Genomic DNA, 27,157 nt, shown 5'->3' with positions numbered 1-27,157 from the left:
GGGAAACAGAGCAGGACTCCGCCTCAAAAAAAAAAAAAAAAAAAAAAAAAAAAAGATATAAACAGATTTCAATATTAAGTTAAATAAAAGAAGAAAGATAAATCTGTTCAAACTTACACAGCATACTAAAAAGATATGCTTTTAAATGTCTTCTCTGTCCTATGATTCAGAATAAACTAGAGGTCAGGAGACAGTTCCATGAGATATCCTTTTGGATATCCCAAACTAAATTAATTCTCTCCTTTCCCTGACATCTGCTTCTCATACCATATTATCTATCTCAGTTAATGAAATTACTATTTACTCTCTGACTGGCCTAGGAATTTGTTTAGACAGAGTTTACTTGTCTAGAGTAATAAACTGGAGAATAACATTTGTTTCCACCATCTCCCTCATTTCCCACACTCAATTAATCAAAAAATCCTATCAGTTCTAACTCAAATTCTCCAACCTATCTCTTCCTCGCCATTCCCAATACCAATGCCTGTGTTCAGGCCCTTATTACCTTTGGCCGTGAACCACTTGCAACAGTTTCTCAGTGATCTTCACTCAATCCACTTAAGCCCATCTCTCACACGATTGCCACACTTACAACTCTAAAACAAAGATCTATGTCTGCCAGACTCTTCTTTAAAAGCTTCTATAATTCCACACTGTCTACAAAAATAAAAGCCAACCGCCTCTGTGTCTTAGCTGAAATGACAGAATACAAAAGTTTCTCAGAATGATTTATAAATGCAACCTTTTCTTTAATATGGAGGTTCTTTAACCCTGGTATACATGAGAAAACTTGTAGTGCATTTAAAGAACACTGATGCTAAGACCTCAATCTGAAAAAGTCTGATTTAATTGGTCTGGAATGAAGCCTTACATCAGCTTTTTAAAGACCTCCCCCAAATAATTCTAATATGTAGTCAGGGTTGAAAACTACTAATTTATAACGTGGCTAGAAAGACACTTCTACTTCCAGACAGCATGCGGTAATAGGGTTGGTATTCATTCCCCTTCACCCCTGACAGAAATTACTAAAAAATAGGACAAGATATATAAAATAATTATTTTCAGACACTGGATGTCAGACAACATAGGAAAGTTATCCAAGAGAAGAGAGAAACAAGCAAAGTAAGCCATACAACTGTCCTACTTAACTGCCCCAGAGCTCACAGAGAGGGAATCCAGGCAGAGCCTGGTGATCTGCCTGAGTTGAAGAGATCATGCAGAGATTTGAGAAGGCCAAGGCAGGTAGAGTTCATGGGGAAGAGTACCAGAAAGAATAGAAAATTCCAGAGATCTGTGGAGAGTCTCCTTGAATATTCAGCTGAATACTGATCGGTATATCAGGAAACTACCAAGGTTGGGGTAAGAACCACACAAGAGAATCAGATTAAACAATCCTCTTGGCTCATACAAGGCTGGAAGTAGTTTGTTTCATCATCTACTAAAGTGGGAAAAGCCTCATAATTAACAGGATATTGGCTAGAGTACTTAGAAGGGTATCACCCAAGTAATGGGGAAAATTAATCATCTTTAAAAAGTTGCTTGGGTTCCCCATAATGAAGCTTAAGATCAAGAAGGATCTGTTTCCAACTAACTGTGACCCAGAATAAAGCTCAATAATGTTTATGGGAATGCAAAACTATCTAACACCCAATATGTAAAATGTTTAATGTGTGGTATCAAATCAAAGTATTGCCAGGTGTGCAAAGAAGCAGGAAACAGTACTTAAAATGAAGAGAAAAATCAATTACCAGAAACATACTCAGAACTGAACAAATGTTAGAATTGTTATTATAGTATTTTAAATGTTCAAGAAAGTAGAACAAAGATTGATAAAATGAAGTAAAATATTAATACATGGGCGGGGCACAGTGCCTCACGCCTGTAATCCCAGCACTTTGGGAGGAGGCGGGCAGATCACCTGAGGTCAGAAGTTTGAGACCACCCTGGCCAACATGGTGAAACCCCATCTCTAATAAAAATACAAAAATTAGCCAGGCGTGGTGGTGGGTGCCTGTAATCCCAGCTACTCAGGAGGCTGAGACAGGAGAATTGCTTGTACCCGGGAGGCAGAGATTGCAGGTTGCAAGGAGCTGAGACCGTAACATTGACAAGAGTGAAACTCCATCTCAAAAAAAAAGAAAAAAAATTAATACATGAAAGTTACAAACTTCTAGAGATGAAAAAGACAATATCTGAGATGAAGAATACACTGGATGGAATTAACAACAGATTAGACACTGTAGAAGAAAAAGTTAGTGAACTTAAAGACATAGCAATGAAAATGATCCAAAAATAAAACAAGAGAAAGAAGACAAAAAGTGAACAGAGCATCAGTGATCAATGGGAAAAATTTAAATGACCTAATATATATGTAACTGAAGTCCCTAAAGGAATGGAGTTATAGAGGGCAACAAAAATTTTTGAAAAAATAATGGCTGAAAATTGTCCAAGTATAATGAAAACTGTAAACACACAGATCCGGTAAGCGTAACAAATCCAAAGCACGAGAAACATGAAAGTAACCACACCTAGGCACATTTTAATCAAATTGCTTAAGATCAGTGATAAAGAGAAAAATTTATAAGTATTCAGGAGAAAAAAGAACATTATATAGAGAGAAACAAGGATAAGAATGAGAGCATAACTTGAAAATTAAAAGACAACAGAGAAGCCAGGCACAGTGACTCGTGCCTGTAATTCCAGCACTTTGGGAGGCTGAGGAGGGCAGATCACCTGAGGTCAGCAGTTCGAGACCAGCCTGACCAACATGGAGAAACCCCATCTCTACTAAAAATACAAAATTGGCTGGGCATGGTGACGTATGCCTGTAATCCCAGCTACTCAGGAGGCTGAGGCAGGAGAATCACTTGAACCCGGGAGGTCGAGGTTGCGGTGAGCCGAGATGGCATCATTGCACTCTAGCCTGGGCAACAAGAGCGAAACTCCATCTCAGAAAAAAAAAAAAGACAACAGAGCAACATCTTTAAAGAGCTGAAGGAAAAAAAGAGCAGTCACCTGGAATTCTACAACCAGCAGAGTAGGTTTCTTGTGCATACAACCCGTGTAGTCACACAGGGCTTTGCACTCAGAAGGACTGGCTTGGTTTAATGCTCTGTTGTTGATGACTTGAAATTCTTAATAATATTTGAACAGAGGGGTCTACATTTTTATTTTGCATTGAGCCCCACAAAGTATGTAGTCAGTCCTGATAACCAGCAAGAATATCTTTCAAACATGAAGGTGAAATAAAGACTTTTTCACATACAAAAGCTGAAAGAATTTTCCCACCAGCAAATCTGCACAAGAATAAGAAGGATTAAAGAAATTCTTTCAGGCAGAAGGAAAATGATACCAGATGAAAATAATGAAGAATATTGGAAATGGTAAATATGTCAGTAAATATGAAACTTTAAAAATATCTTTTACATCACTAATCAGTAAGGAAATGCAAATCAAAACCACAATGATATTTCACTTTATACCCATTAGGATGGCAATTATTTTAAAAAACAAAAACAGAAAATATCAGTGTTCATGAAGATATGGGGAAACTGAAACCCTTGTACACTGTTGATGGGAATGTAAAATGGTGCAGCTGCTGTAGAGAACAGTATGGTCGTTCCAAAAAATTAAATATAGAATTACCATATATGCAATAATCCCTCTTCTTTTGCAACCCAAAAGCATTGAAAACAGGGACACAAAGAGACATCTGTACATCCATATCTGTTGCAGCATTATTCACAGTGGCAAAAGGTGGAAACAATTGAAATTTCCATTAACAGATGAATGGATTAATAAAATGTTGTATAAACATACAATGGAATATGATTTGGCCTTTTAAAAGGTACATCATTATAAGCCTGAGCAACAAACTGAGACCCCATCTCTACAAAAATATCAAAAAAATTGCTTGTAATCCCAGCCATTTGGGAGGCCAATGTGGGAGGATCGATTGAGCCCAGGAGGTCAAAGCTGCATTGAACCATGATTGTGCCAGTGCACTCCAGCCTGAATGATAGAGTAAGACTATCTCACACACAAAAAAGTACGTAATTACAACACATGCTACAACACGGATGACCCTAAAAGAGATTATGCCAAGTGAAATAGGCTGGAGACAAAACAACAAATATATGATCCCATGTATAAAAGGTGGCTAGAGTAGTCAAATTCATAGAGCCAGAAAGTAGAATAGTGGTTACCAGGAGGTAGGGGAGGGAGAATGGGTAGCTACTGTTTAATGGATACAGAGTTTCAGTTTTGGAAAAAGAGAAAATTTTGGAGATGGATGGTGGTACTTGTTGCATAATAATGTGAATGTACTTAATGCAACTACTGACCTGTACACTTAAAATGGCTAAACTGGTAAATTTGTGGGGGAAGAAGAGTTTATTTAGTTCTTTTTTTTTTTTTTTTTTTTGAGACAGAGTCTTGCTGTGTCACCAGGCTGGAGTGCAGTGGTGTGATCTTGGCTCATTGCAACCTCTGCCTCCCTGGTTCAAGCGATTCTCCTGCCTCAGCCTCCCGAGTAGCTGGGATTACAGGCGCATGCCACCACGCCCAGCTAACTTTTGTATTTTTAACAGAGACAGGGTTTCACCATGTTGGCCAGGATGGTCTCTGTCTCCTGACCTCGTGATCTGCGTGCCTCGGCCTCCAAAAGTGCTGGGATTACAGGCGTGAGCCACTGTGACTGGACTATTTAGTTCTATTTATTCATTTATGCAATGATGGTCTCAGCAGTAGGTAATAAAATATAACCTTATATTTAAAATTCATTTTTCATTTTGAAAGGTTTGGATCTTTGTCTCTTCTTTCTACTTTACTATTTTATTTATTTATTTATTTATTTATTTATTTATTTATTTTTAATGGTGGTGGATCTGAGATCTACCTTACTGTTTTAAATACTTAACTCCGACCAAATAGAAGATAAATACAAATTGTATTCCCTTACTTTTCTCTAAGGCCATGCTGGTACAACTAGAATTGGCTCTTTAGAATGTAGGTATCATTTATAGTAAGCTGGAGATTTGATCACAGAATGATACATGTAAGAATGTCATAGCACAAAAAAATGCACAGATATTTTTAAAAGGACAAATTTCAGGACACTTTCCATCTGAGTTCATAAGAAAGTCCTCCTGAGTATCCTTCAAAGTTAAAACCCTCTCCCCTTCAGATTAATGAAAATATTAGGATGCATAGAACACAATGGGCACTGGTGATATGGCCCATGGTAGCTGAATTAGATTGAGTATAAATGAAGTCTTCACATAATAGCAAAGAGGCCAACAGAAGAAAGGCCAGAAAGCCACTTGAAACTCATGTCCATGGAAGACCAAATGAAGTTGATTTAACTGTTCCCTTAGAAAGATATTATCCCATTGCTTAGCCCTCAAAGTGCTCATACTGCTACTTTCCTTCTTTATATCACCAGTTCTGGGAGCAAACCTCCTGAAAGAATGGAAGTATAGACTGTAAATACAAGACTGTGGGTACAGCAAAGGGGCTCTGATGCTCTAGTTGTTTGTGTCTAGATACTGTCAAATGTCCCTTGTGATGCACAATTGCCCTTAGCGGAGAACCATTAACCAAAATAAATGAAATAATATGTCATGTTCATGCATCAGAAGACCCAATGTTGTTAAGATATCAATTCTCTATAAGTTGATCTATAGACTCAATGTGACCCCAATCAAATACCCCACTGGCTTTTTGTCTACATTTACAAGTGAATTCTGAAATGTATATGGAAATTCAAAGAACCTAACACAATGAAAACAATTTTGAACAAGAAGAGCAAAGCTCAAGAATTTGACTACGTGATTTCAAAACGTATAAAGCTACTGTAACCAAATCAGTTTGGTATTAGTCTAAAGATGGATAAGGGAGGCTGAGGCAGTAGAATTGCTTGAACCCAGGAGGCGAAGGTTGCCGTGAGCCAAGATTGTGCCACTGCACTCCAGCCTGGGCAACAGAGTTAGACTCCATCTCAAAAAAAGAAAAAGGAAAAAAAAAAGGCAGATAAATAAATCAGTCAAACACAATAGAAACCCAGATACAGACGATTATATATGTGGTCAATTGATTTGAACAAAGGTGCTAAGGCAATTAAATGGAAAAAGGATAGTGCTCTTAACAAACAGTGTTAGAACAACTGTACATCTACATGCAAAAAAAAAAAAAAGATAAAAAAGAAAAAAAAAAACACCTTGATCACAATATACAAAAGTTAACTCAAATGGATCATAGGCCTAAATGTAAAAATGCAAAACTATAAAACTTCTAGAAAAAAATAGAATATTTTTGTAATCTGGATTAAGTAATGATTTCTTAGATATGACATTAAAAGCAGAACCATAAAAGAAAAAACTGATAATGTTTATTTACCACAGCAAAATTTTAAAATGTCTGGTCTTCAAAAGACACTGTTACTAAAATGGAAAGACAATCTGCACAGTGGGAGAAAATATTTGCAAAGAACATATATAATAAAACTTGCATTTAGAATATGAAATGAACCCAATGAACTCAGTGAAACCCAAACAACTCAATGGAAAATGGGCAAAATATTTCAAGAGACACTTTACCAAAAATATGTAGATAATAATCAAGCTCATGAAAAAAAAGCTCAATATCATTAATCATTAGGGAAATTTAAGTCAAAAAACCATAATAAGATTTCACACCCACTAGAATGGCTATAATATAAAAGATGTACAGTAACAAGTATTGAGAAGGATGTGGAGAAATGAGAACCTTCATACATTGCTAGTGGGAATGTAAAAGGTACAACCCTTTTGGAAAACGATTTGGCAGTTTCTTTAAAAGCATGCCTAGTGTTATATACCCCGAGAAATGTGCCCAAGAGAAATGAAAGACATGTGCACAGATAATTATAGCAACTTTATTTGTAATAGCCATAAAACTGGAAACAACTCAACGAATGGTGAATCAATAACGTGTAGCACATTCATACAATGAAATACTACTCAGCAACAAAAGGAAATGAGCTACTGATACCCACAACAGCATAGATAAGTTTCAAAATAATTATGCTGAGTGAAAGAAGCCAGACAACAACAAAGAGTAGATACTGTATGATTCCATTTATATGAAATTCTAGGAAATGCAAAGTAATATATAATGACAAAAGCAGAGGGGCGGGAAGGAGGAATTTAAAAAGGGCAGAAGGAACCTTTTTGGGATCATGGATAAGTTCGTCATCTTGATTGTGGTGATGATTTCACAGGTATATACATACGTTGAAACTTCAAATTGCACACTTTAAATTTGCCCAGTTTATTGTATGTCAGTTATATCTCAATAAAGCTGTAGAACAGCAACAACAAAGAGATGGCTAGACAAGCATATTACAGTAGTTGAAGTTTGATGTTAGAAATTCACTGAATCTTCTCTGAAGTCATTGTCCTCTGACAGTTGTCTGCAGGTTTCAAGCTATCCACCTACACAGAATGTGCAATCTGCTGGGCTTCAAAAGCACACATTGAGGCAGATGGCCAACAGCTGACAATTCACTTAATTTCTCTTTTTAAATAGTTATATACTTGAAAAAGGATCGAGTTTGAATTAAATCCTCACAGAAAATTTCTATCACAGCATGGGATTCACTTCAATAAAGCATCTTCCCACTGTCATAAATCTGCTTGTGTTCTTTTGGCAAAATTTTCTTCCCACTCAACCTGGCTTTGTTATCTTGTCAAGCCAGACAAAAATTCACCTCCTGTATAAAGCCGTCTCTGATCATCTGCCTTTTTAAATTTTTAAATTTTTTAATTTTTCTTTTTTGAGATGGAGTCTCACTCTGCCACCCAGGTTGGAGTGCAGTGGTGCAATCTCGGCTCACTGCAACCTCCGCCTCCCTGGTTCAAGTGATCCTCCTTCCTCAGCCTTCTGAGTAGCTGGGATGACAGGCGCACCACCACACCCAGCTAATTCTTTGTATTTTCATTAGTGATGGAGTTTTACAATGTCGACCAGACTGATCTCAAACTCCCGACCTCAAGTGATCCACCGGCCTTGGCCTCCCAAACTGCTGGGATTAACAGGCATGAGCCACCGTGACCGGCCTCATCTGCCTTTTAGCACCATAGAGAGGTGCCATTAACCACCTGGTTTATATTGCCAGCATGTAGGGGCTGTAATATGGTACCCCAGCCCCACCTCCCTACCCCATCATTATTTTTTCTTAAAGAAAATAAGCTTGCCACTTAGAATTTAAACTTTACAATTAAGATAAACTGATTTAGAGAATAAATGTAGACACTTGAAACAGTCACAAGGATCCCCAAACCAGATTATAATCTGACTGAAAATATTAGCATATCAGAGATAGAAAAAGAGATGTACCTAAGAAGGGAGGACAATCATCAGTGGACACTTACTGTCCAGGAAAAAAGAACCTATGTGTACACCTTGATGCTCTGAAGCTATCAAATTATTTGAAATTTAGAATCCACTAATTAATTCCTCTTGCTCTAGATTCAAGTTTCAAAAACAACCTTTTGGCTGTAATTTGGCTCTCAAATGTGGCACATATACCAAGAGATATTTTGCTGGGATCATAAAAGAGAGTCTAGTTCCCTAAGATGTTAAAATTCTCATTATAAATTAGTAATTTGTTATTCTGGGTTTATATAGTAGTCCTGTGATTTATCAGTTTAAGAAACAGACTTGGCTGGGTGCAGTGGCTCATGCCTATAGTCTCAGCACTTTGGGAGGGTGGGGTGGTAGGATTGCTTGAAGCCAGGAGTTTGAGACCAGCCTAGGCAACATAGCAAGACTCCATCTCTACACAAAATAATTTTTTAAAAGTAGCCGGAAATGGTGGTACACAACTGTGATCTCAGCTACTTGGGAGGCCAAGGCAAGAGGATCCCTTGAGCCCAGGAGTTGGAGACTGCAGGGAGCTATGATTGCACCACTTCACTCCAACCTAGGCAACACAGTGAGACTCCATCTCTGAAAAAAAAAAAAAAAGAAAGAAAGAAAAAGAAAAGAAACAGACTTAACAAGTTAAAGACCAGATTTCAACATATTTTCCAAGATAATGCCACTTTCTATGGCCTGTTAGGGAAGTCAGCTTTCCTTGGAGAAATAGAGAGAGAGAGAGAGAGAGGGAGAGAGAGAGAGAGAGAGAGAGAGAGAGAGGTCTACAGTTCATCTTTCTGTTACAGCACTTACTCCATACTCCAGTTACTGAAGCACATTATAGAACTACAGATTCTGAGTTACCTGAGGGTAGTTTTGTATCCAGTTTGTGCTGGCCTCCACCATCATTGCTCAATAAGTAACACTGAACTGAACTGAATTTGGATAACGTGCAAGGCTGCTTTTTTACATTTTTTAGTTGATTGAGAGTTAGAAAATCGTACCAAAAACACCACTCCCCAAGTATAACCTCTAATACGCTAACATTCATTAAACCTCTAACACTATAGCTAAAGTTGTTACATTTTTTAAAGTACGCTAAACTGGGGAATTGATTTTTAAATAAAGGGCAAAGTAGCACTAACCTCAGTCAAGTTGCTGTAAGTGTTTCATTTGGGAATTGTGAAATTTTTTAAAAACATTTCAAGACTTATCATTACATCAACGAAGATGAATATAGGTGTAGTTTGTCAGATGAGTAACTATTAAGGAAACCATGAATGTTTGCTATCTACTTTCACAATTAAACCACAATTTAGAGGATCAAATTCTAACCCTATAAACTTTTTTTTAACCAAAGACAGGGAGAAAAATCATACTCTTGTGATAAGGAGTCATAATTCATTTTAAATTCTGCAGGATTAATGCTGCTTTCCAGATAAGAAGAATTCACCCCGTGTGCGTAAGGTGATTAAGGAGCCTTGGAATTATAAATACACATTCAGATTAATTTTTTTGTTCTAAGCTTTAAATAAAATTTCAAAGTATTTTATAAAATAATTAACATCCCATAGATATGCTTTTTTAAAAAAGTAATTATGTCTATAAAAGTAATTTGTATAAGGCAATAAAAATTTTACTTTATAAAAAAATCAAACAATGAATACTTTTTGCTTAATTCTTTCTTAGGAGCAGTAATTTATTATGGGTTCCTTAGAAGACATGTGATTTATTTAAGCTCTATTAACTGAATGTGAGTCTGTTTTCTGACATAAACAGTGGATAGTGTTATGAAAAAATAAAATTGTCAGTGAATAGGCTAAATTTCATAGTTCACAAATATAGCTATCCTGAACATAGAATACAGATCCAATGAACATTTAGTTTTATAATTAGCACTGTTTTAATCCAAATTCCAATTTTATGCATGGGAAACTGAGGCCTAGAGAAATGAAGTAACTTTTTACAGACCCGTTAGCTCAGAGGCTGGAATCACTAGGCCTGGTAGTTTGATTTATGAGTACTACCTTCCATGAGATAAAAAGCTAAAAATGCTGTGATGCGGACATGTTTATTTCTAAAAAGCCTGCAGCACAATCTATCTCTTCTCCCAAAAATCGTATGTATGACAGATTTTTATGTTACTGCTGCTACACGAAGAAAATTGAGCCTAATATGTTCGGTCTTCCAGGCCAAAGCAAAGGATTGATTTTAGAAGGAACTTGTCCTGCATGGCCTCCATCCAGCCATCAGGCAGGGCTCCAGCTCTGCAGGGGAAAAAGAGATAGCCCAGGAAGAGGGAATCACCACCCACCCCACCCTGCGATCTGTATCTAAGAGAAATAACCCTGAAAAGAAGAGCTATAAGAGATGGCAGTGTGTGCTTTCGTCCGGGTGCACTTCCCGATCCTTCAACTTTCATGCCCATCTCTGATGTTTCCATCCTGGTATAGCCTTCTGAGTCATGTGTTCATCTCTCCTTTGGCTCAACCCAACAGACACAGCCTGCAATCTCACCTCCGTCAACACAGCAAATGTCTGTGTCTCAAAGACCTCGAGATAGAGCTTCCTATGCTTTAACCCTTCCAGGGGCACACCTTTATTTCTGGGCAACTCAACACTGTCCCTCCTCCTGCCTCCACCACGGGCCCCATTACCTCCCTACCCTTCTCCAAGCAGTAGTCACTCAGCGCCAACCCCTCTCAGGCGTCGGGATCTTCAGTCCGGGGCCCCAGCCCTCCGCGCGGTTCTCCTGCCCAGCGCACCGTGCGTTGCCACCCCCATCGCGTTCCTCAGCCTCCCGGGCTCCAGAGGCAGGAGCTGGCCATGCTCTCACCTCATCCAGGGTGTGGCCGCCGCAGCTGCTTCTTCCTCCTCGGCCGCTGCTGCCCAGCTCCCGGCTGGCTCCGGGCGCCGTCTTTCCCGGCTCGGGGTCTGCCGTGGGGACTGAGGGGTTCGCGTCGCGTCCCCGGACCGGTAAGGCGTGTAGTGAGCCCGGCGGGACGCGCGACAGCAGCAGCCAAAGTCGCATCGGCGGCGGCAGCAGGACCCGCTGTCTGTGCCCTTCATGGATTTCCTGGGCCTGGCCACCCCAGTCCTAGCTACGGTTCCTGCTTGTTTTCCTGGTGTTTTCCGGGACTGCCAGGGCGCATCCTCTGGGCCTGGCTGAGCATCCCCGTCAGTTCCCTGGGCCTCCTCCGCGGCTGCCTCTGCCACCTGCTCCGCCCAGATTGCTTTGGTCCTTCTCCCGCAGACACACTCAGCTGCCCTTCATCCTCTGTCGTCTCCCCATTCTCTCTCCACCCACTGCCTCATTCCCAGATCCCACGCCGTTTCTTCCTTTCTATCCGCTCCAATGTCACCTTCTCTTTATTTCCAACCTCAGATAAGTTTCTCCTTTTCTTTCTGTCTCTCTCAATATTTTCCCCGGTTTCATCCTCCTCCCCGTGCCCCCGTATCAGTCATCCTTTTATAATTTATCCAGTTTTTCGTCTCCTATTAGTTCCTCAGAATCACTACTGCAGGTTGTTGGCTAGCCTCTTTTCTTCCTCTCCCTGTTTCTTTCTCTTTCCTAAAATCTTTTCCTTTCAATTTTCCCTTGAGTTTTTCAATTGTAAAAACTTTCTCCCAAACAACCTACATTTTCCTTTCAGTTGAGACTGATTGCAGTTTTCCATGAACTCATAATAAAGCATATATAGCTTGGTATCCACCATAAACCAAGAAAGTGTTTTAACCTTTTTTTAAAGTTGGTCAGTTAAATAAATTATCCCATAAATATTCATTCTGAAAATCCAGTTCTTATATCCTACATATGTCCTTGAAAACAGAGACTAGTTTGCTTTTGTATCCAGCAAAGCAAAATGTTTCTGCAACACTATTGCATATAGCATAAGTTCAGCAGGGGAGGGGGAGCAAGGTTTGTCTTTGTAGTTGGGCACTGTGGATCTCAAGGTTCATAGGCAACAGCTATTATTGTTGACTGACTGAATGCAGACAAAGCTGAATTCATCTCAGCTCATCCTTCCAAATCTGTTGCTCAGTTCTGTGTTTTAACCCCAGCCCTATCTACCCAGCTGCTCAATCCCCAAACCTAGAATTTGTCAGGGACCTATTTCTCTTTTACCCATCTCATCCAGTCATTAATTCTACTTTTTTACTCTCTCCCTCTCTCTCTCTCTCTATAGATAGATAGATAGATAGATAGATAGATAGATAGATAGATAGATTTTTTTTTTTGAGACGGATTCTCACTCTATCACCCAGCAGGCTGGAGTGCAGTGGCACGATCTTGGCCTACTGCAAGCTCTGCCTCCTGGGTTCAAGCGATTCTCCTGCCTCAATCTCCTGAGCAGCTCGGATTACAGGCACCTGCCACCACGCCTGGCTAATTTTTGTATTTTTAGTAGAGATGGGGTTTCGCCATGTTGGCCAGGCTGGTCTCGAACTGCTGACCTCAAGTGATCCTCCCGTCTCAGCCTCCCAAATTGCTAGGATTACAGGCGTGAGCCACTCACCTGGCCCATTCTTTCTTTTAAGCCTCCTAACTTAAGCTTCATCTTTACCTCTCCTTATCTTTGTCCAATCTGTCTTATCTGGGCTCTTTGTCTAACAACCTCTACCAGAAAATTCTTAATTATCTCTTATTGTTTTGTATCTTCTTCCTCTCCTTTTCCATTAGCTTCATCCCCAGCCCACAAACATGCTTAACTCTCCTCACTCTTAAAACAAAGTCCTTCCCTCTCTACCTATCACCATATCTCTCACTTCCCTTCACATCCAATTTGTTTAATATATTGTGTTCATTTGATGTCCACACTTTCTGACTTCCCAATCATTCTTTACCTCCTAATTTTCTGCAATCAGGCTTCTAATCCTATTGCTTAACTAGAGGTATTCTCCCAGAGGTCCTGGCGAATTTCATGTCAGGCATAGGTAGGCAATGCCAGATCAGTTGCCCCTAGTTTTTCTCCCCGCAACAAACGAATTCAGATCTAAGAAAAAAAAAAAAAAAAAACCTGTGGTATCAAGGCCACCACATTGCAGAGCACTCAACCGCCATTTAACCTACATAAATAGCACCTTACCCACTGAAGCCTGCACAACTAAAAACAATGGCCTTGAGTGGTAGGGCTAAACTCTTGGGTTCATGCGGTTTATCCAAATGCAGGCTGAAGAGGAATCCCCATTATATGACTCTAGATTGATAAATTACCTAGTTTTGATTATGGCCTTAGATTTTAGAGATTCAGACTTTGGTTTTGCCCATAGACACGTGGTAGATTTTATCTAACACACAAATTAAAAGGAATAGGGCTCCATAACTTAAAGAGAATAAGCCATCTTTTGTAGTTGTGGCAGATAAACAGTTCAGTGAAGTTACTGCAAACCCACAGCATTCATTACTGCTATGAAGTACTGAGACCTCCAACTCCAGCCAAGATGTAGTAGTATATATCAAACTAAACCTCCCACTTCAGGGGGAAAGTGGGATAAAATATGCATAAATATTTACATATTTGTATATATTTATATGTGTGTGTGTATATATATATATAGTCATGCAATGCATAACCAAGTTTTGATCAAAGACAGACTGCATATGCAACTGGTGGTCATATGCAGTTGCATATGACTTGCTATACATTTTCCAAGTTTAGATGTACAAATACCTACCATTAGGTTAAAATTGCCCACAATATTTAGTACAGTACCATGCTGTACAGGTTTCCAGCCAAGGAGCAATAGGCTGGGTGTGTAGTAGGCTATACCATCTAGGTTTGTGTAAATATATTCTGAATGTTCATACAACAGTAAAATTGTCTGATGATGCATTACTCAGAATGTATCCCTGTCATTAAGTAATACATGACTTTATACATATACGGATGGTCCCCAACTTACAATAGTTTGACTTAAATTTTTTTGCCTTTATGATGGTGTGAAAGTGATAAACATTCAGTAGAAACTGTACTTTGAATACCCATACAACCACTCTATTTTTCATTTTCACTACAGTATTCAACAAATTACATAATCAACACTTTATTGTAAAATAGGCTTTGCATTAGATAATTTTGCCCAACTGTAGGCTAACATAAGTGTTCTGAGCACATTTAAGGTAAGGTAAGTTAAGCTATGATGTTTGGTAGGTTAGGTGTATTAAGTGCATTTTTGACTTACAATATTTTCAACTTAGGTTTATTGGGATATAACCCCATCATAAGCCTAGGAGTATCTATATATCTATATCTATAATTCTTTGGAGGCATTGAAGAGTAACTAAACCAGGCGGAACTTAAAGCTATGATCCTGGAGAGAAGGCACATGAGGTGAACTCAGTGTTTACCCTGGAATATTTCTCTTGAGGGAATGCTCAAAACTAAGTGCAAGACAATAAAAGCCAAAAAAAAAAAAATACAGCAGTTTTTCTGGGCTGAAGAATAAGAGGCTGTATTAGTCTATTCTCACACTGCCAGAAAGAACTACCTGAGATTGGATAATTTATGAAGAAAAGAGATTTAATTGACTCACAGTTCTTCAGGTTTAACAGGAAGAATGACTGGGAGGCCTCAGGAAACTTACAAGCATGGTGGAAGGTGAAGGGGAAGCAAGCACGTTTTACCATGGTGGAGCAGGAAAAAGAGAGTGAGGCGGGAAGTGCCACACACTTTGAAACCATCAGGTCTCATGAGAACTCACTCTCACTATCATGAGAACAGCCTGGGGGAAATCTGCCCCCATGATCCAATCACCTAATACCAGGTCTCTCCCCCAGCAGTGGGAATTACAATACAGCATGAGATTTGGGTGGGAACACAGAGCCAAATCATATCAAAGGCCAAAGTTGAGGGCTACCAAAGTGCCTCTGATTGAGGGCAAACTCCAAGAGGGGAGAATTGCAGAGGAGCTCAACAATCTATGCAAATTGCCATCATGATAGTGATCTAAGTTCCTACACTCAGCATGCACAAAGAAAGATGCCAAAAAAAAAAAAAAAATCAGAAAACAGCAGTTTAGGGTCTAATGAGGTAAGTGAAGATTTCAGCATCCAACAGAAGTTGGACTTCAAGCCTTGATAAGGTACCTAGATACCCAGGGTTTTCAGTTGAGATCTCAGCACATCCTTGGAGTAAGAGCAATATAATACTGAAATAAAATAGATCTAACAAAGCTTGAAACCAAGCCTTTTCAGGATCAAAGTTATCTGCCACTATTCTTTCTACTTTCCAGGAGTAGAAAGTAGAAACTCTATGGAGGTAGGTAACATTATCCAGAGTCTACAATTTTGTCTTATACAATATCTGGGATCCAATACAAAATAATTATGAGCCATGCAAAAGATCAAATCCAAATGACTAAACACTAAGAGAAAAACGTTAATAGAAACAGAACTAGATATTAGAATTGGCCAGGACTTTAAATAACTATAATTAATAGTTTTAAGAAAATAGAAGAAAAGGTGGACAAAGATGAAAGATGGGTAATTTACTTCAGTATAGAATTGGAATCTGTAAAAACAATTATTGGACAAATATTCTAAAACTAAAAATTACAGGCCGGACACGGTGGCTCACGCCTGTATTCCCAGCACTTTGGGAGACTGAGGCAGGTGGATCATGAGCTCAGGAGTTCGAGACCAGCCTGACCAACATGGTGAAATCCCCGTCTCTACTAAAAATACAAAAATTAGCTGGGCGTGGTGGCATGCACCTGTAATCCCAGCTACTCAGGAAGCTGAAGCAGGATAATTGCTTAAATCTGGGAGGCAGATGTTGCAGTGAGCCAAGATCACACCACTGCATTCCAGCATGGGCAACAGACAGAGACTCTGTCTCAAAAAAAAAAAAAATTACAATAACTGGAAATAAGAACCCTTTGGGTGTGCTTAACAACAGTCTGAGTACAGCAGAAGTCAGGATTCATGAACTGGAAGACAGGTCTGTAGAAAATATCCAAACTGAAGGACAGAGAAAAAGGAAAAGAACATAACAGACCTCAAAAACACAGTAAAAATGTCTAATAAGTGATTAATTGCAGTCCCTGAAAGAGAGAGGAAAGAGAGGAGCAGTATTTCAGGAGACAAAGCTCAAGAATTTTCTAAAACTGATAAAAGGCATCGACCTCTCAGATGCCAGAAGTTCAGCCAACCCCAAGAAGAACAAAAGACCATTATCGCTCAGAAATATTAGAAGCAGTTTCAATTTAGATATTTGCTGAAGACAATTCTTAAGTTGAAACTAAGGAAGAACTCTTGATTGAGAGGCAGGTTTGATAGGTCTAAGCAGTTCTACAGCACTAGACAGTGGCATGAGTCACGGTGGTATGGGCTTGAAATGTCCACATAGAAAAGAGTGTGAAAATTGCTGGGCGCGGTGGCTCACGCCTGTAATCCCAGCACATTGGGAGGCCGAGGCGGGCGGATCACGAGGTCAGGAGATCGAGACCATCCTGGCTAACACAGTGAAACCCCGTCTCTACTAAAAATACAAAAAATTAGCTGGGCGTGGTGGCGGGCGCCTGTAGTCCTAGCTACTCGGGAGGCTGAGGCAGGAGAATGGAGTGAACCTGGGAGGTGTAGGTTGCAGTGAGCTGAGATCTCGCCACTGCACTCCAGCCTGGGTGACAGAGCGAGATTCCGTCTAAAAAAATAAAATAAAATAAATAAATAAATAAAAAGAAGACAGTGTGAAAATTATATAATAAACAGAACCCACACTCAAATCAGCCCTTTAGTGCCAGAAAAAAAAGAGGGATTCAAAAGATAAATGGAAATTAATGGATTTTGATTATCCTGGTGGGAAATCAAAACCAATAATTTCACTAAACCATAGTAACTGGAAACTGAACCTGCCAACCTGTAACTTTCTAAATTTAGTAATGAAGTACCAAGATTTCAAGTGTCGCTCTCTGAGAGAGGAGACCTGTTATTAAGTGATTTCCAACCCCCATTTGCCACATATTAAACACAGTATGATTAACCTCTTCACAGTAAACATTTATCTCAATTGACTTTACGGTTATAGGTCACAGGCTCAGATAATTGGCATATAATGTTTGTCAAACCAGATAGGCTAACACTAAAAGGTTCCCTCTTCTTTGTCTACTTGAGTTTCTGCTATGAGTTTGGAAGCAACTATGAATCTGAATTGTTCCAAATATTGCACTGGGTTCTGATAATATCATTTTGTTTGGTTAGCTCTAAGACTTTGAAATTGACATTTTAAAAAGTAGACTTTATTTTTTTAAAGCAGTTTTAGGTTCAGGACAAAATTGAACAGATGATAGAGGTTTCATACATACATCTTGCCCCCGAGACACAAACAGCCTCCCCCGCATCAAAATCCAGAGTGTACATTTATACAATCAATGAACCTACATTGACACACATTATCATCCAAGGTCCATAGTTTACATTCAGGTTCACTCTTGGTGTTGTACATTCTATGGATTTTGACAAATATAAAATGGTATGTATCCACAGTTATAGTAACAAATAGAGTAGTTTCATGGCCATGTAAATCCTCCATGTGCCACATGTTCATCCCTCCCTCTTTCCAACCCCTGACAACCACTGATCCTTTTACTGTTTCCACTGTTTTGCCAATTCCATAGTGTCATATAGTCAGAATGATACCATATGCAACCTTTTCAGATGGGCTTCTTTCACTTAGTAATATGCATTTAAGGTACCTCCATGTCTTTGCATGGCTTGATAGCTCATTTCTTATTAGCACTTTATAATATTCCATTGTGTAGATGTGTCACAGTTTGTTTTTCCATTTACCTGCTAAAAGACATTTTGGTTGCTTCCAAATTTTGGTCATCATGAAAAAAGCTGCCATAAACATTCATGTGCAGGGTTTTGTGTGAATGTAAAATTTCAACTCTGGGGAAATACCAGGAAGCCCCAGTTGCTGGATGGTAAAGTAAGAGTATGTTTAGTTTGTAAGAAATACTCGTCTTCCAGTGTGGCTACCATTTTTGCATTCCCCACCAATAATGAATAAGAATTTCGACTGCTCTGCATTCTTGCCAGCATTTGGTGTTGGTGTTGGCCTTTCTAATAGGTATGTGGTAGTACATTATTATCGTTTTTATTTGCAATTCCCCAATGATGTATGATGTTGAGTATTTTTTCATATGCTTATTTGTCATTTGTATATTTTCTTTTGCAAAATGTCTTTTGGCTATATTTATGTGGGTCTCTTTCTGCACTCTCTACTCTGTTCCATTGATCTATATTTCTATTATTTTGCCAATGTCACACTGTCTTGTTTACTCACATAGTGTCCTCCAACTTTGTTCTTCTACTTCAATATTGTGTTGGCTATTCTGAGTATTTGCTTCTGCATATAAACTTTAGAATCAGTTTATAAAAATCCACAAAATAATTTGCTGGGATTTTTATTAGAATTGCATTGAATATATGGGTCAAGTTGGGAAGAATCGACATCTTGACAATACTGTCTTCTTATCCATGAATATGGAAGAGCTCTCCATTTATTTTGTTTATTTATTTGTTTATTTTGAGACAGGGTCTGACTCTGTTACCCAGGTTGGAGTGAAGTGGCACCATCTTGGCCCACTGCAAACCTCCACCTCCTGGGTTCAAGCGATTCTCGTGCCTCAGCTTCCTGAGTAGCTTGGATTACAGGCACCCGCCACCACCCCCAGCTAATTTTTGTATTTTTAGTAGAGACAGGGTTTCACCATGTTGGCCGGGCTGGTCTCAAACTCCTGACCTCAAGTGATCCGCCTGCCTTGGCCACCCAAAGTGCTGGGATTACAGGTGTGAGTCACCGTCCCCAGCCAGTTCTCCATGTATTTAGCTTGTTTTTTATTCTTTCATCTGTTTTTTTAGTATAGTCACAGAATTGTGCAATCATTATCACTGTGTCATTTCAGAACATTTTTATCACCCTCAAAACAAACTCCATACTCACTTACCCTTTCCATTTCTACCACCGGCTGTTCCTCTCCCCAGCCCCTGGCAACCACTAATCTTTTTATATTTATAAATTTACCTATTCTGGACACTTCATATAGATGGAATCATCTAACATGTAGCACATTATGTCTGGCTTCTTTCAGTTAGTATGGTGTTTTGAGGTCCATCCACTTTACAGCGAATGCCAATATTTCACTCACTTTTTTATTGCTGAAAATATATTATATTGTAAGGAAATATCACATTTAATGTACCTATTTGTCAGTTGATAGACACTTAGGTGGTTTTTGTTTGTTTGTTTTTTGCTATAGTGAATAATGCTGCTGTGAACGCTCATGTACATGTTTTTCTTTGGACATATGTTTTCAATTACTTTGGGTACATACCTACGAGTGGAGTTGCTGGGTTATATGGCAACTCTGTTTAACTTTTTTTAAACTGCCAAAGTGTTTTTACAAATGGCCTCATAATGTTTACATTCCCACCAGTAACTCAATGTTTTTCCACATTCTAACCATTTGTTAGTATGTGTCTTCTTTATTATAGCCATCCTAGTGGGTGTGAAGTGACATTTCACTGTGGTTTTGGTTTGTATTTCCCTAGCTAATAATGTTGAGCATCTTGTCTTGTATTTAGTATTTATTTGTATATCTTCATTGGAGAAACATTTTTTCAAATTTGTTGCCTATTTTTCAATTGGGTTGTTTGTTCTTATTTTATTACTGAGTTGTAAGGGGTGTGTGTGTGTGTGTGTGTGTGTGTGTGTGTGTGTGTGTGTGTGTTCTGGATGCAATTCCTTTACCTGATATGATTTGCAAGTATTTTGTCCCACTTTGAGGGTTGTCCTCTCACTTTCTTGTGCTTTTTGAAGAAAATAAGTTTTAAATTTTGGTGAAGTCTTTTTATCTATTTTTTTCTTTTGCAGCTTGTACTTTTGGTGTCATAGCTAGGAAACCATGCTGGATCAAAGGTCACAAAGATTTATTCCTGTGTTTCATTCAAAGAGATATATAGTTTTAGCTCATAGGTTGACAATCCATTTTGAGATAATTTTTATATATAGTGTGATGTAAGAGCCCATCATCATTTTGCATGTGAATATCCAGTTGTCACACATCATTTGTTGAAAATACTCTCCTTTCCTTATTTTTTTTTAATTAGACCATATATGCATGTGTTTATTTTTGGGACTCTCAATTATATTCCATTGACCTGTATGTCTATTCTGATTTCAATACCACACTGTCTTAATTATGTTGCTTGTTATTAAGTTTTGAAATCAGAAGTATGAGTCCTTCTCACACCTTTTTCCTTCTTTTAAAGATGGTTTTAATTATTCTGGGTCCTTTGCTTTTCTACCTGAATTTTAAGAGCAGCTTGTCAATTTCTGCCACACACAAAAAAAAAAAAAAAAAAAAGAGAGAGAGAGAGAGATCCTGCTGGGATTTTGATAGAGATTGCAACAAATCTATAGATCAATTTGGGATTACTGCCATCTTAACTCTGTTAAGTCTTCCAATCCATGAATGTGGAACATGAACATGGAATTCCTTTCCATTTATTTAGGTCTTTTAATATTTCCTTCAACAACATTTTGTGGTTTTTAGTGTACACTTTTTTTGTTAGATTTATTCCTAAACATTTCATTTATTTACTCATTTTAAATTTCAACTTTTAGATACAGAGGGTACATGTACAGCTTTGTTACATATCCATGGAGGTTTTTCTACCCATGTTCCCTCCCTCGGTCCCCTCTCTAGTAGTCCACAGTGTCTATTGTTCCTATGTTTATGTTCATGTGTGCTCAGTGGTTAGCTCCCACTTATAAATGAGAACATGTGGTATTTGGTTGTCTTTTTCTGCATTAATTTGCTAAGGATTTTGGCCTCCAACTCTATCCATGTTGCTGTAAAGGACATTATTTCACTTTTTATGGCTGTATAGTATTCTACAGTGTATATGTACCACATTTTCTTTATCCAATTCACCCTTGATGTGCACCTAGGTTGATTCCATGTATTTGCTATTGTAAATTGTGCAGTGATGAACATATAAATGCATGTGTCTTTTGGTATAATGATTTATTGTCCTCTGGATATGTACCCAATCATGGGATTGCTGCATCAAATGGTCGCTTTAAGTTATTTGAGAAATCTCCAAACTACTTTTCACAGCGGCTGAACAAATTTACATTCCGAAAAACAGTGTGTAAGTGTTCCCTATTCCCTGCAGCCACATCAGCATCTGTTGTTTTTTGACTTTTTAATGATAGCCATTTTTGACTTTTTAATAATAGCCATTCTAACTGGTGTGGGGTAATATCTCATTGTAGTTTTGATTTGTATTTCTCTGATAATTAGTGTTGTGGAGCATTTTTTCATATGTTGGTTGGTCACTTATATGTCTTCTTTAAAAAAAGTGTCTGTTCATATCCCTTGACCATTTTTAAGGGGATTATTTGTTTTTGCTTATTGACTGAAGTTCCTTATAAATTCTAGGTATTAGATCTTTGTTGGATGCATAGTTAGTGAATATTTTCTCCCATCCGGTAGGTTATCTATTTACCCTGTTGATTGTTTATTTTGCTATGCAGAAGGTCTTTAGTTTAATTAGGTCCCATTTGTCAATTTTTGGTTTTGTTGCAATTGCTTTTGGGCACTTATCCAAAAACTTTTTGCCAAGGCTGATGTTGGTAAAAGTATCTTCTAGGTTTTCTTCTAAGATTTTTATATTTTGAGGTCTTACATTTAAATTTTTAATTATCTTGAGTTAATTTTTGTATACAGTGAAAGGTAAGGGTCTAGTTTCATTCTTCTGTATATGGCTAGCCAGTTATCCCAGCACAATTTATTGAATAGGGAGTCCTTTCCCCATTGCTTGTTTTTGTCAGCTTTGTTGAAGATCAGATGGTGTAGATGTGCAGCTTTATTTTGATGCCTTGTAAATGGAATTGTGCTCTCAGTTTCATTTTTGGATTGTTCATTTCTGGTGCATAGAACTGCAAATTTTTTTGTATATTGATCTTGTACCCTACAATTTGGTGAATTCATTTATTAATTCTTAAATTTTTGTGTGGATTCCTTAGAATTTTCTATATACAAGATAAAGTCATCTACAAATAGAAATAGTGTTACTTATTCCTTTCCAGCTGGGGTGCTTTTATTTCTTTTTCTTGCCTAATTGCCCTCATTAGAACATCAGGTACTATGTTGACTAGAAGTGGTGAGAGCGGACATACTTGTTTTATTCCTCATCTTACAGGAAATGTTTTCAAGTCTTTCCCCTTTAAGTATGGGGTTAGCTGTGGGTTTTTCATAGATACCCTTTATCAGGTTGAAGAAGTTCTCTTCTTTCCTAGTTTGTTCATTGTTTTTTAACAAGATAAGATGCTAGATTTTCTCAAATGCTTTTTCTGCATTTATTGAGATGATCATATGGAGTTTGTCCTTTGTCCTTTGTAATATGGTGCATTACATTTATTGTTTCATATGTTGAATCAACCTTGCATTCCTAGGATAAATGCCACTTTGTCATGATGTATAATCTTTTTCATATGTTGCCAAATAAAGTTTGTTGAGAACTTTTACATCTATATTTATAAAGGTATACTGGCCTGTCATTTTCCTTTCTTGAAGTCTTAGTTTTGGTGCCAGGGTAATACTGGCCTCATAGAATGAGATGGGAAGTGTTCTTCTTCTCCTTTTTTTCAGGGGGTGAAGAGTCTGTGTCCTATAAACATATTCGGCAGAAGTCACAGATTAAGCTATCTGAACCTGGGCTCCTCTTTGTGGAACATTAAAAAAAATTATTACTACTAATTGAATTGCTTTACTTGTTATAGGGTATTCAGATTTTCTATTGCTTCCTGAATCAGTTTGGGTAGCTTGTTTCTTTCTTGAAATTTGTTCATTTCATCTAGTTTATCTAATTTCCTGGCATATAACTTCTCATAATATTCCTCTATAATATTTTGTATTCCACAGGTTGGTAATAATGTCCCCTCTTTCATTTCTGATTTGATCCATGTGTTTTAAGGAAAAGTTTGTGTCCCCACGAGTATCCCTCCATAAAAAACAAAACCTCCAGAAAATTCTGTCTGAGACTAATTTCAACAGTTACAACGTTACAACAAAGACAAATTTAAAACAAAATGCCTCTGGTGTAATTTGTGGTAAATGATAGCTTGTGTTCAGACTAGACTTGATCATCACTGCTCAAAAAATGTCCTTTAAAAATTATGCAAATTTTGATACATCACCCATCATCCATTACTTCTATTTTCCAAAGTCTTGAAGTATTTTAGAAGTTCAATTAAGGCTTATCTCGTATCAGTATTTTCAAGTTTTCTCAGCAGCAATTCATAGAGCATATTGAACGAAATTAAGCAGCCACACAAAACCTGTCCAAAATCCAAACACAAGTGTAGCAATTTTAGATAAGGTTTTGTCATTTGTGGCAAATAAAATGATAAATACCAATAAAAATGCACATCCTATCCCACAAGTAATATAAAAATCTAGTATTTCTTTTGGTGTGGCAACTGCAATAAACTGGAGTACACAAACACAGTCAGAATAAGGAAATTCATAAGAAAGGCACTGTGTCACATGAAATTCACATAAGTGAGGTCCTCCACAAAAAGTGTATTACAGGGACAAACCCTTTTCCCAGCTAAAGGCTGGGAGAGAGAGAACAGCTGGAAGTCTCTGAGATCACCACCGCCACTGGAGCTGGCCAAGGGACACAAAGGTACTAAGATCATTTCTGCTCTCTGGTAGGAGGTGGGTCCTCCTTTGTGTTGGACTGCACCCTGTTCCCTTCTTCACTGAGAATCTGAGAAGTCTTGTGGTGATAGCTGAACACTTAAGATGCCAGCCTCAGAGTAGGTCATTCTGGTTTGCCCTATGCCATGTGGTAAGAAGCCAGTCAGCCTGCCCATTTGAGAAAGGCCTGCTGTTTCTGGAGTGAAGTCTGCCTAATTCTGGAGTGAAATATTAGCAGGACCTTTGCATCATCACAGATCTAAATGCAAGTTCTCCACTTAGTTTGATCAGTAATAAAAGTACTGTAGCATTATTAATTCTCTGTTTGACTTCTCTATTTCCCAATTTGATCTGAACTTAAAAGAGGAAGAAAGGATTATGTCTTGAGCTCCTAAAACTTCAACTCAAAGCTTTCATTGTAATATTCTCAAGAAGTGACAGTCTGCATAAATAGCAGATTTTTTAAAAAGGAAATTCCTCCTAGAACTTTGAAATTTTGGTTATTATCTGCCCGAGAGCTTGGAGGTAGACCTCCGTAGAGAAATGGCACACAGAGTTTGGGGCCTGACTTCAGATTTCCAGAACCAGAGGATCATGCTCCCTAATAAAAAACAAAGAAAAAGGTCTCATATCAGGTAGTGATGGAGTAAGAGGATGGGCCAGGGATTAGGGGAAGAACCAAGAGGGACTGATTAACAAAAATTACATCTTTGGAAGCTAGAGAATTCACCACAAGCAAACAACAACAGCAAGTTAGATTATGACCCACTTTGTCACCTTTAATGTCGTATTAGATTTAATTCTTTGGCAGGTAGAGCTGAATGAATTTGCCTAAACTTTTTTCCCAGGAACGATAGCAAAGACTAGTAATAACTGAAAGATCTGGCCAGGTATGGTGGGTCACACCTGTAATCCCAGCACTTTGGGAGGCTGAGGCAGGTGGATCACTTGAGCCCAGGAGTTCAAGATCAGCCTGGGCAACATGGTGAGACCTCATCTCTACAAAAAAAAAAAAAAAAAAAAAAAACAAAAATTAGCCGGATGTGGTGATGTGTGCCTGTGGTCCCAGCTACTGGGGAGGCTGAGGTGGGAGGATCACTTGAGCCCAGGAAGTCAAGGCTGCAGTGGGCCAAGATTATGCCACTGTACTCCAGCCTGGGTGACAGGGAGACCCCATCATAAAAAATTGAAAATAAAATAAAATACTACTAATATTAATAATGAAAACTGAAAGATCCTTAAGATTGTAAAGAAAAGTCAGTCTGAGACGGAAATTTTCACTAATTGCTGAAACACTGAACCACCACTATGAGTAGAGGAGAGATGGTCCAATAAAAGGAGCAGGAGCTGGAGGACTATTAGAGGAGGAAGCCAAGCTACAGCAAAGCTGTTGAGACAGCAGGTAAGATGAGGAAACTATAATGGCCGCTAGGAAAAAACAAATCCATTTAGACTCCACAGAAAGATAATAAAGCTGCCGGTCTGAAGGACAATCTCGTTGTATATTCAGAGTTAAAAAAGTCACCATCCAAAGCTTTTATTGTTGCAGATTGAGAGGTGGGAATGCAATGCGGGTGGAGGTGGGTTGGGGATAATGGAAGAGAGACAGAGCCAGCTAGAATGTAACTGTCAGAGGCATTCAAATCAGAATGACTCCATCTTGAATACGGGCTGGGTAAAATGAGGCTGAGATCTATGGGGCTGCATTCCTAGGAGGTTAGGCATTCTCAGTCACAGGATGAGATGAGAGGTTGGCAGGACTGGTATCACAAGATAAAGGTCATAAAGACCCTGATGATAAAACAGGATGTGGTAAAGAAGCTGGCCAAAACCCACCAAAACCAATATGGCGATGAATATGACCTCTGGCTGTCCTCACTGCTCACTGTATGCTAATTACAATGCATCAGCATGCTAAAAGACACTCCCACCAGCACCATGACAGTTTACAAATGCCATGGCAATGTCAGGAAGTTACCCTATACGGTCTAAAAGAGGGAAATCCCTGCCTCTTTCCCAGAAAACTCATGAATAATCCACCACTTATTTGGCATATAATCAAGAAATAATCATAAAAATAGCCAACCATCAACTCTTGGTGCTGCTTTGTCTATGGAGTAGCCATTCTTTTGTTTCTTTACTTCTCTAGTAAACTTGCTTTCACTTTACTGTATGGACTTGCCCCCAGTTCTTTCTTGCAGGAGATTCAAGAACCCTCTCTTGGGGTCTGGATAGGGACCCATTTCCAGTAACATATATCATGTTCCTTTTGTTAACCTCTGTATAATTCAGTGCCTGATATTCCTAGCCCATAGTAGTTGAACAATAAATATTTGTTGAATAACTAATTGGAAGAATGAAAGAAATGGGGGTTGGACATGTTTTCACTAAGTACAATACCAACTGTGAATCGTGCTGTATACAACCAATGAGTATCATCTCAACCCATGAGACATGCCATTCATTCAGTCATTTAGTCCATAAACAGTAATTGAGCATTTGCTAGGTTCCAGGTACAGGATACTAGACCCTTGGGAATAACTAACTAGTTTTTCTGTCCTGAAAGAGTTTGGAGATTAGTAGTAGAAGAAATATGTTTTTTAAAAAAATTAAGTTCCATACAATATTTTAGGTGCTATCAAAACTACCCCAATTTTATATGTAAAATGTTTATTTAGAAACAGAATGCTTGTTAATCGGTACTGCAAGGAAAAATTAGCATTCAGACAAAAAGTTTTCTCAGCAAGATAATTTTACTTTCTGCAGAAAGAGTGCTCCTCGCAGATGGAACAATGGCGAGAGCACACCTGAACAATGGAGGGAAGAAATTTTTATCCCTTACGCAGCTTGTCCTTGCTGCTGTGTCCTGTCTCCGTTGGCTGGAGCCAGACTGCACAATCTAAACTAAAACCTGACTGGCTAATAATTTAAAACTTTTCTAAATAGGTAAAAGCAATGGAAAGACAAAGGAAAAGAGGAAGTTGCTTATGAAAGGACTTAGAAAAGTAATAATATTCCTGAATAAGGAAGGGGCATAGGCTGTGAG

The 27,157-nt window shown here is 38.4% G+C and overlaps 1 protein-coding gene across 15 annotated transcripts in view, besides 2 other annotated features; it reads right to left on the bottom strand.

Moving 5' to 3' along the window:
• The window catches only part of PDE4DIP (phosphodiesterase 4D interacting protein), a 224,583-nt gene extending 213,046 nt beyond the window's left edge, over window positions 1–11,537 (bottom strand). For 14 of the 15 annotated variants that reach the window (NM_001377392.2, NM_001350521.4, NM_001395298.1 and 11 more), the window contains exon 1: window positions 11,234–11,537. In NM_001377392.2, the coding sequence (NP_001364321.1) occupies window positions 11,234–11,466 (233 nt within the window). In that variant the 5' untranslated portion in view covers window positions 11,467–11,537. Of the gene's footprint in view, window positions 1–11,062 lie in introns of all 15 variants that reach the window. The other variant, NM_001395319.1, reaches the window with a different exon arrangement.
• Window positions 10,761–11,398: an enhancer, noted in NCBI's record as "H3K27ac-H3K4me1 hESC enhancer chr1:145075157-145075794 (GRCh37/hg19 assembly coordinates)". NCBI's record gives its function as "activates a minimal SCP1, AML or CMV promoter by ChIP-STARR-seq in naive H9 embryonic stem cells {active_cell/tissue: H9 hESC(naive)}" and the evidence as "EXISTENCE:reporter gene assay evidence [ECO:0000049][PMID:30033119]".
• Window positions 20,931–21,432: an enhancer, noted in NCBI's record as "NANOG hESC enhancer chr1:145085325-145085826 (GRCh37/hg19 assembly coordinates)". NCBI's record gives its function as "activates a minimal SCP1, AML or CMV promoter by ChIP-STARR-seq in naive H9 embryonic stem cells {active_cell/tissue: H9 hESC(naive)}" and the evidence as "EXISTENCE:reporter gene assay evidence [ECO:0000049][PMID:30033119]".

The sequence above is a fragment of the Homo sapiens genome, chromosome 1, assembly GCF_000001405.40.
Source record: "Homo sapiens chromosome 1, GRCh38.p14 Primary Assembly".
Taxonomy (NCBI): Eukaryota; Metazoa; Chordata; class Mammalia; order Primates; family Hominidae; genus Homo; species Homo sapiens.
The sequence above is the reverse complement of the archived record's forward strand: the minus strand, read 5'-3'. Positions and strand labels throughout refer to the sequence as shown.